Raw genomic sequence first — 14,649 nt, 5'->3', positions numbered from 1 at the left:
CTCTTGGCTGCCTGCTAAGTAAGATGTGCCTTGTTTCCTCCTCATCTTCTGCTGTGATTTCAAGTTTCCTGAGGCCTCCCCAGCCATGTGGAACTGTGAGTTAATTAAACCTCCTTTCTTTATAAACTACCTAGTCTCAGGTAGTATCTTTATAGCAGTATGAGAATGGACTAATACAACAGGCTCATCAGTTGACTAGACACAGCTGAAGAAAGAATTAATGACTGAAGATAAATTGGTAGAAATTACTAGTACAAAAAGAAAAAATAAGAAGAATGAATAAAAAGAACACAATATGCAAGAGTTATTGAATATAATATTAAGAAGAAATCTAACATGAGTAACTGAAGTCCCAGAAAGAGAAAGACAGAAAGGGGCAGAAAAAAATATCTGAAGAGATAATGAGTGAGAATTTCTTGACAATAATGAACATCAAACCACAGATTCAAGAACTCCAAGCAGGATAATTCTTAGATATATCAAACTGCTGAAAACCAAAGATAAAATCTTGAAAGCAACCAGAGAAAAAAATACACTTTACATATAAAGAACAAGAGATAATATTAAAACAGGTGTCTTGTGGAAAACTATGTAAGTCAAAAGACAATGGAGTAATATCTTTAAAATAGTAAAAGAAAAAAATGTTAATCCAGATTCACATACGCAATAAAAATAACTTTCAAAAATGAAAGCTAGATACTTTTTCAGACCAGAATAAAGGCAAGAAAAATCACTGCCAGCAGACCTGTGTCATAAGAAGTTCTTCAGGCAGAAGCAATGACTCCCAACAGACATTTGGGACTTTAAGAAAACAGCCACTGTGGAAAACAGTCTGGCAGTTTCTTGTACACATTCACTTACCATATGACCCAGTAATCTCATTCTTAGGCATTTGCCCAAGAGAAGTGAATGCATATTACCACAAAACAAAAACTGTGCACAAACGTTTATGGAGGTTTTCTATAGCCACTGAAAACTAGAAATACCTTCAAATGTCTATTAACTGGTGAATGAATAAACAAACTGTGGTAGAGCCATACAACGAACTACTACTCAGTGATAAAAGAGAACAAATTACTGATACATGGAACCACAGGGATGAATCTCAAAAACATTATGCTAAATGGAAGAAGCCAGACATGAAAGATGACAGAGAACAGGAAAGAGATCACTGCTGCCAGTTGCTGCAGTGAGTGTGGTGATGGCGGGGGGAGACTCAACAACAGGCTATGAAATAACTTTTTGGGATGAAAATATTCTGTATCTTGACTGTGGTAAAAGTTACAAGACTGCACTTCTTTGTCAAATTTCATAGAATTATATACCTAATAAGGGTAAATTTTACTGTATATAAATTATACCTAATTAACCTAAAAAAAATCAACACCAAGTCAATGTGATAAGGCAGTATAAGAATCTTCTCTCAAATTTTAGACATAAAGATATAACTTATTTTAACAAAATAAAAATGTACTAGTCATACTGCATCAAATTTATTCCTTCAAAACTCCGTGTCATCTGATTTTTTTAAAGCAAAAATATTTTCATGGTATTTTATATCATATTAATAATGCGAGTCAGAGAAGCATTTATTGAAGCACATAAATACGAACACTGTAGATTATCAGACTAGCATACTAAATAGTTGGATTTCAACCATTAAAGGTTGTAGAAGAATGGCTAAACTTCTATCTAGGGAAAATGTTGATTAAAGGGCCAAGAAAGGTTAATGGGATTCTGGCACGTTATCCTTTCTATAAATGACTCAAAATCAGGTAAAGTCTTAAAGTACTTAGATACTGATAGGGGTTTTGGCTGGGCGCAGTGGCTCATACCTGTAATCCCAGCACTTTGGGAGGCCAAGGCGGGCAAATCACTAGAGGTCAGGAGTTAGAGAACAGCCTGGCCAACATGGTGAAACCCCATCTCTACTAAAAATACAAAAATTAGCCAGGCATGGTGGTGCACACCTGTAATCTCAGCTACTTGGGAGGCTGAGGCAGGAGAATTGCTTGAACCCGACAGGCAGAGGTTGCAGTGAGCCGAGATCACGTCACTGCACTCCAGCCTAGGTGATATGGCGAGCCTCAGTCTCAAAAAAAAAAAAAAAAAAAGATACTGATAGGAGTTTCAACCTTTATGCTAAACGTCTTTCAGGTTGTTGTCTGGTACAAATGGAGTCAACACAGACCTGATACACATTTTAGAAACATTACAATGTATCTGCTGAAAAAATGAACTTACTGTAGTAATTATTTTTGGTGCATGATGTTCTGACCACATTAAGAATGACAATTAAAAAATGAACACAGATAAAATGTAATTTTGTAAAAGTCACTTTATATTAATTATTTTTATAACTATACGGCATAGTCAGGTTAAATATTCAGATACCATTTAAAATACATAAACACATGCATTTACATACTACATGTAGATTTAAAATAATGAGATATTTCTAGTCCCTTTCCTACATCTTTTTCAAATTTTTAATTGACCAATAATAATTGTGTACATTCGTGGGGTACAATGTCATGTTTTGATCTATGTGTATACTGTAGAAAGATTCAATCAAGCTAAATAATATATCTATGAATATACCAACATTTTTTTCTGTGTGGTGCAAATGTTAAATATTTATTCTTTTAGCAGCTGTGAAATACACATTAATAACTACAAGTCAGTCACCATGCAGTGCACAATTATCTCTAAAACTTATTCCTCCAATTGAAACTTTGTACCCTTTGATCAACCTCTTCCCTTTCCCCATACCTTCCCTTATTCCTAGCCTCTAGCAACCACCTTCCTACGTTCTTTTTCTGAGATTTTCTTACAATTTTTTTAAATTTACTTTTTATTTTAAAATTTCTTTTGTAGAAATAGTGTCTTGCTATGTTGACCAGACTGGTCTCAAACTCCTGGCCTTAAGAAATCCTCTCACCTTAGCCTCCCAAAGTGCTGGGATTATAGGCATGAGCCATCATGCCCGGCCTAAGATTGACATTTTTAGATTCCACAAGTAAGATCATACAGTATCTGTCTGTCTGTGTTTGGCTTATTTCACTTAGCATAATGTCCTCTGCTTCCATCCATGTTGTCATGAATGACAGTATTTAAAGCTGTATAGTATTCCAGTGTATAGATATACATTTTCTTTTTGTTTTTTTAGAGACAGAGTCTTGCTCTGTTGCCCAGGCTGCAGTGCAGTGGCATGATCTTGGCTCACTGCAACCTCCGCCTCCCGGGTTCAAGTGATTCTCCCACCTCAGCCTCCCAAGTAGCTAGGATTTTTACAGGCATCTACTATCACGCCCAGCTAATTTTTGTATTCTTGTATAGACGGGGCTTCACCACGTTGGCGAGGCTGGTCTTGAACTCCTGACCTCAGGTGATCTGGCCGCCTCAGCCTCCCAAAGTGCTGGGATTACAGGCATGAGCCACCATGCCCAGCCTTAGATATACATTTTCTTTAACCATTCATCCACTGATGGACACTTGGGTTGCCTCCATATCTTAGCAATTGTGAATACTGCTGAAATAAATATGGGAGTGCAAATATCTCTATGACACAGCAATTTAAATGCCTTTGTTAAGTCAGACTGATGGATCATATAAATATTCTATTTTTAGTTTTTTCAGCCACCTCCATACTATTTTCCAAAATGTCTGTATTAATTTACAATCCCAACAGTGTACAAAGGTTCTCTTTTTTCCGCATCCTCATCAACATTTATCATTTGTCTTTTTGATAAAGTCATTCTAACAGGTGTGAGGTAATATCACATCATTGCTTTAATTCTCATTTCCTTGATGATTAGAGATGATGAATATTTTCTCATATATCTGCTTACCATTCATATCTCTTTTGAGAAATGTTTGTGATACCCTTTCCCTATATTTTAGTTAGGTTGTTTTCTTGATATTGAGTTGAGTTCCTTACATATTTTGGATATTAGCCCCTTATTGGTTATATGGTTTGCAGATATTTTCTCCCAACCCATAGGTTGTCTCTTCATTCTGTTAACTGTTTTCTTTGCTGTATAGAGCTTTTTAGTTTGATGCAATCCCACTGGTCTATTTTTGCTTTCGTTGCCTGTGTTTTTGGAGTCCTATCCAAGAAATCATTCATTGCCCAGATCAATGCTGTGGAGCTTTTCCTGTTTTCTTCTTGTAGCTTTACCATTTCAGGCCTTGTGAGTCTTTAATCTATTTTGAGTTGGTTTTTGTATATGATATAGTCCAATTTCATTCATCTGCATGTGGATATCCAGTTTTCCCAACACCATTTATGGAACGAATTGTCCTTTCCTCATTGTGTGTTCTTGGCACTTTTGTTGAAAATCATTTGACTGTAAATACTTGGGTTTATTTCTGGGTTTTCTATCCTGTTATATTGGTTGATATGTGTGTTTTTATAACAGTACCATGCCATTTTGATTACAATAGCTTCATAGCTTGAAATCAGGAAGTGTGATGCTTCCAGCTTTGTTCTTTCTGCTCAAGACTGTTTTGGCTATTCAGGATCTTTTCTAGTTCCATACACATTTTAAGATAGTTTTTTTCTATTTCTAAGAAAAATCACAACACAGTTTTGATAGAAATTACACTGAATCTGTATAATGGTTTGGGTAGTATGAACATTTTAACAATATTAATTCTTCCCATCCATGAACATGGAATATCTCTCCATTTATTTGTCTTCTTCAAATTATTTCATCAATGTTTTATAGTTTTCTGTGTACAGATCTTTCCACCTCCTTGGTTAAATTTACTCTTAAATATTTACTTTTTTAAATGCTGCTGTCAATGAAATTGTTTCCATAATTTCCTTTTTGGATAGTTCACTGTTAGTATATAGAAACACTATTAATTTTTGTATGTTGATTTTGTAATCTTCAACTTTACAAAATTTATCAGCTCTAATAGTCTTTTGGTAGAGTCATAAGGATTTTCTACATATAAAATCATGTCATCAGCAAATAGAGACAATTTCACTTTTCTTTTCCCATATGGATGCCTTTTATTTCTTTTTCTTACCTAATTGCTCCTCTTCCCATAAGGAACCACTAGTATAAAAATGTACATTTATCATTCTTCTTACTTTTTAACTTTATTATGTCTGAATGGATCTCCCAATGCTTGTATTAAATGCTATTGTACTTGCTATAAAAGAAATCATATTGTAGATTTCTACATACAAAGAAATTATATTGTACATATTCTGTAACTTTCTTTTATCACTCAAAATATCCCTTGCTATATTTGTCCATGCTGCTAGATGTAGCTGTAGTTTGTTTACTTGCACTATAGAACAACTCATGTAATAAATAACATCATACTAAAATACGATTTAGCAAAAATAATCAAAAGTAGAGCAAATAAGGCAGGGAGGTAAAAGTGAAAAGTACTGGTGAAGATTTAGCCCTGAAATTATTTAGAATTGCTAATGCATGGTAATAAAATGGAGACTGAATTTTAGTTCACTGTATTAATATTTCAAAATTCTCTACATATGAAGTATCCCTTTAGTTGGATGCACTGCTCCTACTATACTATCCCCTTCGGTGAGCTATGAAACAAATTATGTTTACAACATACAATTCCATAAGTAGAATTCTCAAAAATAACCTACACAAAATACTTAAGTGTTAAGTGCGGGTAGTACTAGAAGTTCACTCATTTATTTTATGAGTATTAAGTGCTTCATAAAAGTTAATAACAACCAAAAAGTAGGGTGTTTGAATCATAATTAAATTGGCATCATAAAAGAAAGTTACCTCAAATGTAAAGCTTTTCAACTAAGCTGGTACTTATATACTCTTTAAATATATGAAGACAACACCAACCATTTAGTCCAAAATTACATTTTCGACATATTCTAACTTTGTTTACTCATCAATCCAATTTTAGACATGTAGATGACCATCTCAGTATCACTGAGAGCCAATAAAAAATAAAAATACTAATAAGAGTACTCCTGGACTTCTTTTAGTCAATTAATATAGATAATAAAGATAACATTAAGTTTCATTCATTATCAATGTCTACACAATTCACTAGGGTAAAAGTTTAAAGAAGTTATCATACTTTAATATAAATTTTTTAAATCTAAAGCAAAAGCAGCTGCCTCTTTGATTTCTTTTTCAAACTAGAGTATATAATGACACTATAAGTTCCTTATTTATGAATAAATTTATTTTTATTATTACTGATTACTGTTCATGAATAACCTTTTGAAGTTCTGATACTATAATCCTTTCAGTATAAGAAATTCAGAACTACATTAATTGGAGGGTGCATCTAATATATAATTCTTTAGAGTAACACATAGTCTATCTTATAGATAAAATATGTAATATATATAATACATACTCTAGTATATATATATCTATATTACTGCTAGCTTTGTTTTTACACAATTAACAAACTCTGAGGCATAGGTATAAAAGTATAAAATAAAATAACTAGTAATGGAATCCAAATGACCACCTCAAGAATATTTTTAAATCTTACATGAAGTAAAATTTACCTTTACATTTAATATCAAAAGTTCACATACCTGATGTTCCAAAAACTACATCCCAAGGGGAACTAATGGGTTGTTGTTCTCCTTTTGCTCCACCTTCTTTATCTGTACCTTGAATTCCAATACCAGCTACAGTGCTCACCTTCTCAGCTTCTAGGTCAATCTATAGAAATTCAAAGGATGGTTTTATGCAATGAATGTTACTTTTGCTTTTGTCTTTTGCTGTGTAAAGATTTTCAATAGTCAATAGAACATTTAGAGTGTATGTGCAGTACAAAGTTTTATTATGAAAAAAGGCCAATCAATTATAGAATGAACTTCTTATTCAAATGCACATAATCAGTCCCTTTCATATCCCACCTGTCCATTCCTCTACTTTTCCCCTCTTATCCCCATCTCCCATCATGCCTCCAGCAGATCTGGCATTGACCTCATCTTAACTAAACAAAAATTTTAAAATGAAATTTTAAAACACAATGTAGCAAAATACATGTTTCTAAAAATTAAATGCACATATTTCAGTTGTGCTCAGCTAGTAATTGACACACATTAAAACTTACATGTGCCAAGCACTAATCCAATAGTGAGCAAGCCAACCAGCCATCCAGCCATGCTCATAACTGTGTGACGATTTTAATATTTTAGAGAAAACTAAAACACAGATCATTAAGTAACTTTTTCAATGTCCCACAGTTAGTAAGTCAAGAATCTGGGACCTGAACCCAGGCAGTTCCATGACACTTTACGGACTTTACTTTATAAACTGAAAAACTAATGTATTCTACTGGGAAAATATGTTCTGCTTTCATCTCCTGAGACCCTCTCCCCAACAATGTATTGGGAAAATTTTCAAACACACAGGAAAGTTAAAAAATTTTTGTAACAAACATCCATATACCTACCACTGAGATGATATTCAATATTTCACTTAATTGCTTTATTGCACATTTTATCCAGCTATCAATAGACAGAAATTTTCCTTACTTCATAGATATCTTATTCCTCAAAGCTACAGCAAATATTAAACTTCTGGAGAAAATGTACATGTATTCCCTTTAAGATTATAAGCATGACAAGATACCCACCATCATTGCTAATGCTTAAAAGCAAGAGAGGTACTAGCCAGCAATATAATAAAAGGAAACAGGAAGTTTAAAAATCAAAAGGGAATTTGTTTTTGGAGACAATATGTTTACATAAGAAACAATCAAAAGATTTTGGCAGAAATGGACAAGCTGGTCCTAAAATTCTTATCAAATTGCAAGGGACCTAGGATAGCCAAAATAATCTTGAAAAAGAAGAAAGTGGGAGGACTTATACTTCCCAATTTCAAACATTATTAAAAGCTACAGCAATCAAAACAGTAAGGTACTGGCATAAAGACAGACAGAGAGATCAATGGGTCCATACATCTATGATCAACTAATTTTTAACAAGGCTGCTACAGCTATTCAAGGGAGAAAGAACAGTCTTTTGGACAAATGTTTCTGGGGTAACTGTATATCCACATGTAAAAGAATGAAGTTGAACCCCTACTTCACACCATATACAAAAATCAACTCAAAATGGATCAAAGACCTAATTATAAGAGCCATAACTAAAAGACTTTTAGAATAAAACACAGGGGTAAATAATTATGACCTTGGATTTAGCAATGGATTCTTACAACAACAAAAACATAAGCAACAAAAGGAAAAAATGGACAAATCAGTCATCATCAAAATTTAAAACTTCAATGTATCAAAGAACATGATTAACTAAGTATAAAGGCAAGCAGAAAAATGTGAAAAATCATTTGTAAATCATATATCTGATAAAGAACTTGTACCTAGAATATACAAAGGATTCTTACAACTGTATTATAGAAAAGACAACCCAATTAAAAATTTGGCAAAGAATACTGACACTTCTCAAAGATATAAAAATGGCCCATAAGCACAGGAAAAGGTGGTTGACATCATTAGTCATAAGGGAAATGCATATCAAAACCACAATGAGATGCCACTTCATATCCAGTAGGATGGCTAGAATTTTTAAAAAATGAAAAATAACAAGTGACGGTGAACATGTAGAAAATTGGAACCCACATATATTTCGAGTGGGAAGGTAAGATGGTGCAATTGCTATGGAAAATAATTCAGCAGCTCTCAAAAAATTAAACATAAAACATATAACTCTACAATACCAATTCTAGGTATCTACCCATGCCAAATAAAAATGTATGTCCATGTAAAACCTGTGTATCAATGCTCACAGCAAGATTATTCATAACAGCCCAAAATAACAAAATATACAAAATAGCCAAAACACAATCTAAATATCAATGGTGAATTGGTAGATAAAATGTCATATATTCACACAACAGAATACTATCCAGCAATACAAAGGAATGAACTACTGAAATGCTACTTCACACATGAACTTTTCATTATGTGAAATGAAAGAAGCCAAATACAAGAAAATATATATAATTCTATTTAATAAAATGTTTGGAAAAGGCAAATTTATAGAGACAGAAAGTAAATTAACAGTTGCCTAGGGATGGGAGGGGACAGGGACTATCTGTAAGTGGTCATGTGGGTTCTTACTTGGGGGATGAAATGTTTTAAAAACAACGTATGGTTACAGTTGCAAAACCTGTTAAATTTACTAAAAACTAGTGAATTATAGATTTGCAATGGGTTAACTTTATGATACATAAAATATAGCACAATAAAGTAACTAAAAAATATACACAGAACACTTACAAGATCACATACAAATAAAAACATGCATTAAACGTATCACAATGGCTGCTTATAGGTATGCTAATGTAAGGGGAGTGAGAGTTGGGGGTATGGGGAAGTAGGAGAATTTATAATTTAAATAAATTATTCTAAATGAGAAGGGTCTGCATGAAACAATGTTCGTGAGCCATGAATGAGAATATAATCAATTCAATCCTCTGCAAATGAGGTCTTAAACAAAAATAAAACACAATAAATATTCTTGTATTTTTAAAAGGAAAAAATTCCACTTTCCATTTCTGCAGACACCATATTAAGTCACAGAATATAAAACAATTTCAGGTAACCTAAATTTGTTGTGATTATACTTAAATGCATAAATATTTGAAATGGAGCACATGGTCAATACTCGAAAACCCATTAAGTTGTAAAGCAAGAGAAATGACATACAATTAAAAAAGAAGGACAAGTACTCCCTGAATGTTGCAGGCTGGCTATTTTACTAATTCAATACACCATTAGAGGTCTAGCCCCTCTGACGAATTATAGACACATACAACCCCAAAAAGATAATGATAAAGAAATATTAATCATTAAGAATTTAGTAATTTAAAAAACCACTTTTCCCTAAAATATACACCATGGAAACAGTCCTATAAGCAGCTCTGCCTATAAAGGGCTCTCTGGTCAAATAAGTTTAGAAATGCTGCACAGATATCCCCCCATTAATGCACTCAACAATACATTAGCATATTTAAGTCTGGAAGAAAGTCTGCAAGACTTTAAAAAACACATCTGCTTTAATGTATTAACCCACAAAATCTGTTTTTCATGTAACACTTTTATATTGAGGAATACACACTTTCAAAAGTGCTTCCTGAAACAGTATTATTTGCTCATAAATTCATCCAACAAATATCTGTTGAACACCTACCATAGGCCAGGTCTTTTCTAGGTGCTAGGATTCAGTAGTAGACAAAACATATTTCTAGCCCTCAGGAAGACTTACAGTACAGTGGATATTATTATATATTATATGTATTTTTTTCTACTATGTGTATATAAGTGAAAATATTGTCAAATAAATGAGAATAAATGTCAATACTGAAAGAAACAGTGAGAAAAACAAGGCAGTATCTGAAACAATGTATTTAGACAGGATGAGTATGATGAACTTGGTTACTTATTTTCCAAACACATGGCAACTTAAAGACCAATGGTTTAGCCAAAACAACCATCAGGAGGAAATGTCTGAAATAACCGAGTACATCTACAATGGAATGTGATACAGTCATATCATTCAGGTGACTAACATGCAAAAAAAAAAAGTTAGAAAAACCTGCAAAACATTATGTATGCATAGCATCATTACATTTGTTTAAAAAATTCTCTACAAAAAGGCTTTTTAATATCAATTTATTTTTATAAGAGTAGAAAATTTCCAAAAAGACACACACTTTAACAGTGGATGGTTACCTCTGGGAAACTGGAATTGATGGTCAGGGGACTTTTTTTTACCTTTATGTATTAGCTGACTTTTTAGAAATAAGGACACATAATAAAATCAAACAAGTTTTAAGACGAATTGGCTAATCAGTATTTCCAGCCAAAGCATAAAAGTTGAATAGAAGCAGGAATGGTAGGATTTTTTTTCTAGTTTGAGAAAATTCAACTGAAAAAGGACAAAGGATCATTGTAAACTAGTGGTTAGGAAGATACTTCAAAATGAGGAGCTTTTGAGTGATTAGGGACACAGCCTTGAAACAAGGGTTAAAAAAAGAACTGAATGGGGTTTTCTTTTGTGACAAATACATACTGACACAAATAGAAACAGGATACTTGAGAATAAAACTAAAGTACGTACCTCAAGAAAAGCAGAACAAGGACATTGACATACATAAGAATCACGCTTTAACTTCAAATATTTAATGTAGCAAATACATTTCCTTTTTCTGATTGTAAGTATTAAAACAAATTTAAAATGAAAATTACCTTTCTTATAAGGTGGTTTTCAGTGTCTGCCACATATATGATATTATTCATTATGGCTACACCCTGTGGAGAATTAAAAGTTGATTCTGAAAATATTCCATCTTTTCTTCCAGGGTTGGGTCCTAAAATAAGATAAAATTTGCCACTTAAGAAGTGATCTCAAGGTAAAACAAAACAAAACAAAACAAACTTGTATTTAATGCTGGGATTTTAATATAAAAAAATGGTATGTCCATCTAAAAACTAAAATGTTCCCCAAGGAACATTTTTCTTAAGAGTGAGTTTTGCTAATGACAGGGCTCATAGTACAATTACTAGTGCACTTAAGCATAGTAGTATATAGCGAAGAAAATAATTTTAAAAGCATTCTAATTATCCATTACCTAGACTACAAAGATTTAAAAATAACTCCAATTGTTCAACAGATGAATAATTTTTAACAATTTTGAAAGATATGCTCCTTGGATAATACAATGAAAATTATGAGCCCTTTCCCTAGAAAAATACACATGGCCAAATTGTTGTAAACAATCCCAGATCCTGAGGACCACTGAAGACTCTCAGGAGTCCAAGGACCCCAGATTAAGAATCCTTCTTATCTACTATTTCACTTTGTCAGAAAGTCCTGCGATATATCATACACACTGTAAGAGAGAGTGATTCTAGTCCACCTCTCAGTTTTTACAATTCATGTAGAGTTTCAAGGGTGGAGAATATAACACAATAAAATGTAACTATTATTTCCATGGCCAGCAGACAAGCCATTCAAGGCCTCTAAATCAGCAGTTCAAACTGCTTTGTGGAACTCCATTGTCCTAGGCAACCATAAAAAGGTAGTGTAACAGAGTGGCTAGAAAACAAACCCAAGGCCTGGCACAGTGGCTCACGTCTGTAATCTCAGCACTTTGGGAGGCCGAGGCAGGCAGATCACTTGAGGTCAAGGGTTCAAGACCAGCCTAGCCAAAACAATGAAACCCCATCTCTATTAAAAATACAAAAAATTAGCCAGGCATGGTGGTAGGCACCTGTAATCCCAGCTACTTGGAAGGCTGAGGCAGGAGAATTGCTTGAACCCAGGAGGTGGAGGCTGCAGTGAGCTGAGATCATGCCACTGCACTCCAGCCTGGGCAACAGAGTGAGACTCCATCTTTAAAAAAAAGAAAACCAACTCAAGAGCCCAATAGACCTTGTCTAAATCCCAAGTCTGTCTCTTTCTAGCTGGTGATTTGGGAAAGTTCTTTGTGTCTCAGTTTTACTTCTGTAAAATGGAACTAATTACCTAACTCATAGCATTGTGCAGGCAAAAATGAGTTCATACAAGTAAAATGTTTTGAATAATGCCAGACATATAGTGTCTACTGTACCTACAATTGTTAATAATACTATTATTGTGTTGATATTGATAAGAGTTCCCTGAAAAAAAAGGGAGAGTTCTGTGGTTACATGAGATTGGAAAATATTGTGTACTATACCCCCCCATAAGGAAAATTAGGAGAGTAAAAAATTTGGGAAATATTATGATACCATCACCAATAAAAATCTGATAACATTAAAAGTGTTTCCTGAGTGTATCTGACCAAAGAATTCTTTTTTAAAAATTAAAGAATAACTGTATCAAAAGATAACAGTATTTCTAGAACTATGTTTGGGTAGTGTAGCTTGCTGCTGGTTTCTCTTTTAACAAAGAATATTCACCTACACTATTTTGAAAATCACAGAATCTATTAACTTTTAAAACCACTTAAATTCAAACTGCTACAAAAGACACTTTTTGAGTAACAATTCAATTCTCGTAACTGCCTGTCATAAATCAAAATACCAAGTAGCCAAAACAAAACAAACACCACAAAACACAACACATACTGTATCTTGGTATATTAAGAATAACATCAGGGCATAGGACCACAACTAGCTTTTTTATATTAGGAACACAGACATTTCTACTTTATGTACTAATGCTGCATATATTACTAAAGCAGGATTGCAAAGAAATGAATTACTTTTGTCTTTGACTAACATGCTGTCAAATGTCAGCTCAGTTTAGATAAGAAAGATTAATAAGAATGTACTCAGTAGAGTTTATTAATTATGTAGATGTAACCAAGAGGTAGTTTTAGATCTAAGACCAGGGAGATATAGAACAAAATGATCTACGCTTGCATGATACTCATACTCTGCTACACCTATTTCTATTCTGGAAATAGATCCAGAAACATGTTCAAGTTCTTATGGAAGAAAGGAGAGAAAAGTAAAACTATGCACAAATTCTAGCTTATTTATTTTATAAACTACATCTCAAGTTCATGGGGCACTGACATGATCTTTAAAAAGATACGGCTATATTTTGTTGGAAAGTGAAACATAATACTTCTACTTAAAACATCTGAAATCCAAAACGTATGTTTTCATAAGAAACAGTAAGTACAGCAGTTTAAAAAAAAAAAAAAAGATAGAATATACAAATATACCTAAAAGCTGAACTATTTCCTCTTTTTGACCTGGAGCTTTTTCAGTGTTTTTGTTTGTTTTATGAGGGAGTGAGAAGAGGTTAATTCAGACATCATATTAATTAACAAAAAATTTTTATTAGGAAATTAAGTCAATGTATATCACTTTTCTATAATTAGTTTTCATTTAGACATTTCAACTTTTATATTTACCTTGAACTATTTTTTTACTGTAAAACACGTTATCTATCGTAATCAGAAGCAAGTTTTACCTCCAATGCTATATTGAATTTGTCCATTCTTCCAAACGACCAAAATTCTATGATGTCCAGTGTCTGCTATTACCAATCTATCAGTAACTTGGTCTACTGTTACTTTGCCAGGAAATAGCAATGGTGAAGGTGGCAAAGAATCTTTATAGAGTTTTATTCCAATTTTATTATCTCTGATCTGCCCCCTGTCTTTGTAATACTTTAAAGCAATTGAAGTATATAAAAATAATTTATCTTTGTGTCCCTCTCCAATCAAAGAAAACAACATGTTTCCACGAGGTCCAAGTATGACTAGAGTTGGCCAGCAGGAAACTTCTAGTTCTTGCCAAAGGCTGGCATCTGCATCATTAACCATAGGGTGGGTGATGTTGTATCGAAGAACAGCACTCTTAATGTTATCCAGGACTTTTTCATTTGGAAACTTAGCCGAGTGAACACCAATAATAAGAAGACCATCTGAAAGGAAAAAATTATATGTTAAACATTATTAAATATTTAAGTTTGAATATCATCATCTACACATTAGGTTTTGGATCACAAATATTAAAAGTCCATAGATTAAAAAAAAACGAAAAGTAGAACTACGCTGGGATCTTCAACTGCATTTTAACACACATAAAAAACTAACAAATTTAAATCTCATAACAATCTTGATTACTACATAAAAACACACATGATCAAATTCA

The 14,649-nt window shown here is 33.1% G+C and overlaps 1 protein-coding gene across 2 annotated transcripts in view; it reads right to left on the bottom strand.

The window, feature by feature from the left end:
- Positions 1-14,649, bottom strand: part of NHLRC2 (NHL repeat containing 2) — a 62,534-nt gene that overhangs the window by 26,255 nt on the left and 21,630 nt on the right. For both annotated transcript variants that reach the window (NM_198514.4, XM_011539769.4), the window contains exons 3-5: positions 13,964-14,419; positions 11,245-11,366; positions 6,560-6,689 (exon numbers count right to left, since the gene is read on the bottom strand). In NM_198514.4, the coding sequence (NP_940916.2) occupies positions 6,560-6,689; positions 11,245-11,366; positions 13,964-14,419 (708 nt within the window). The remainder of the gene's footprint in view (positions 1-6,559; positions 6,690-11,244; positions 11,367-13,963; positions 14,420-14,649) is intronic.

Source organism: Homo sapiens, chromosome 10, assembly GCF_000001405.40.
Source record: "Homo sapiens chromosome 10, GRCh38.p14 Primary Assembly".
In the NCBI taxonomy this organism is placed as follows: Eukaryota; Metazoa; Chordata; class Mammalia; order Primates; family Hominidae; genus Homo; species Homo sapiens.
The sequence above is the reverse complement of the archived record's forward strand: the minus strand, read 5'-3'. Positions and strand labels throughout refer to the sequence as shown.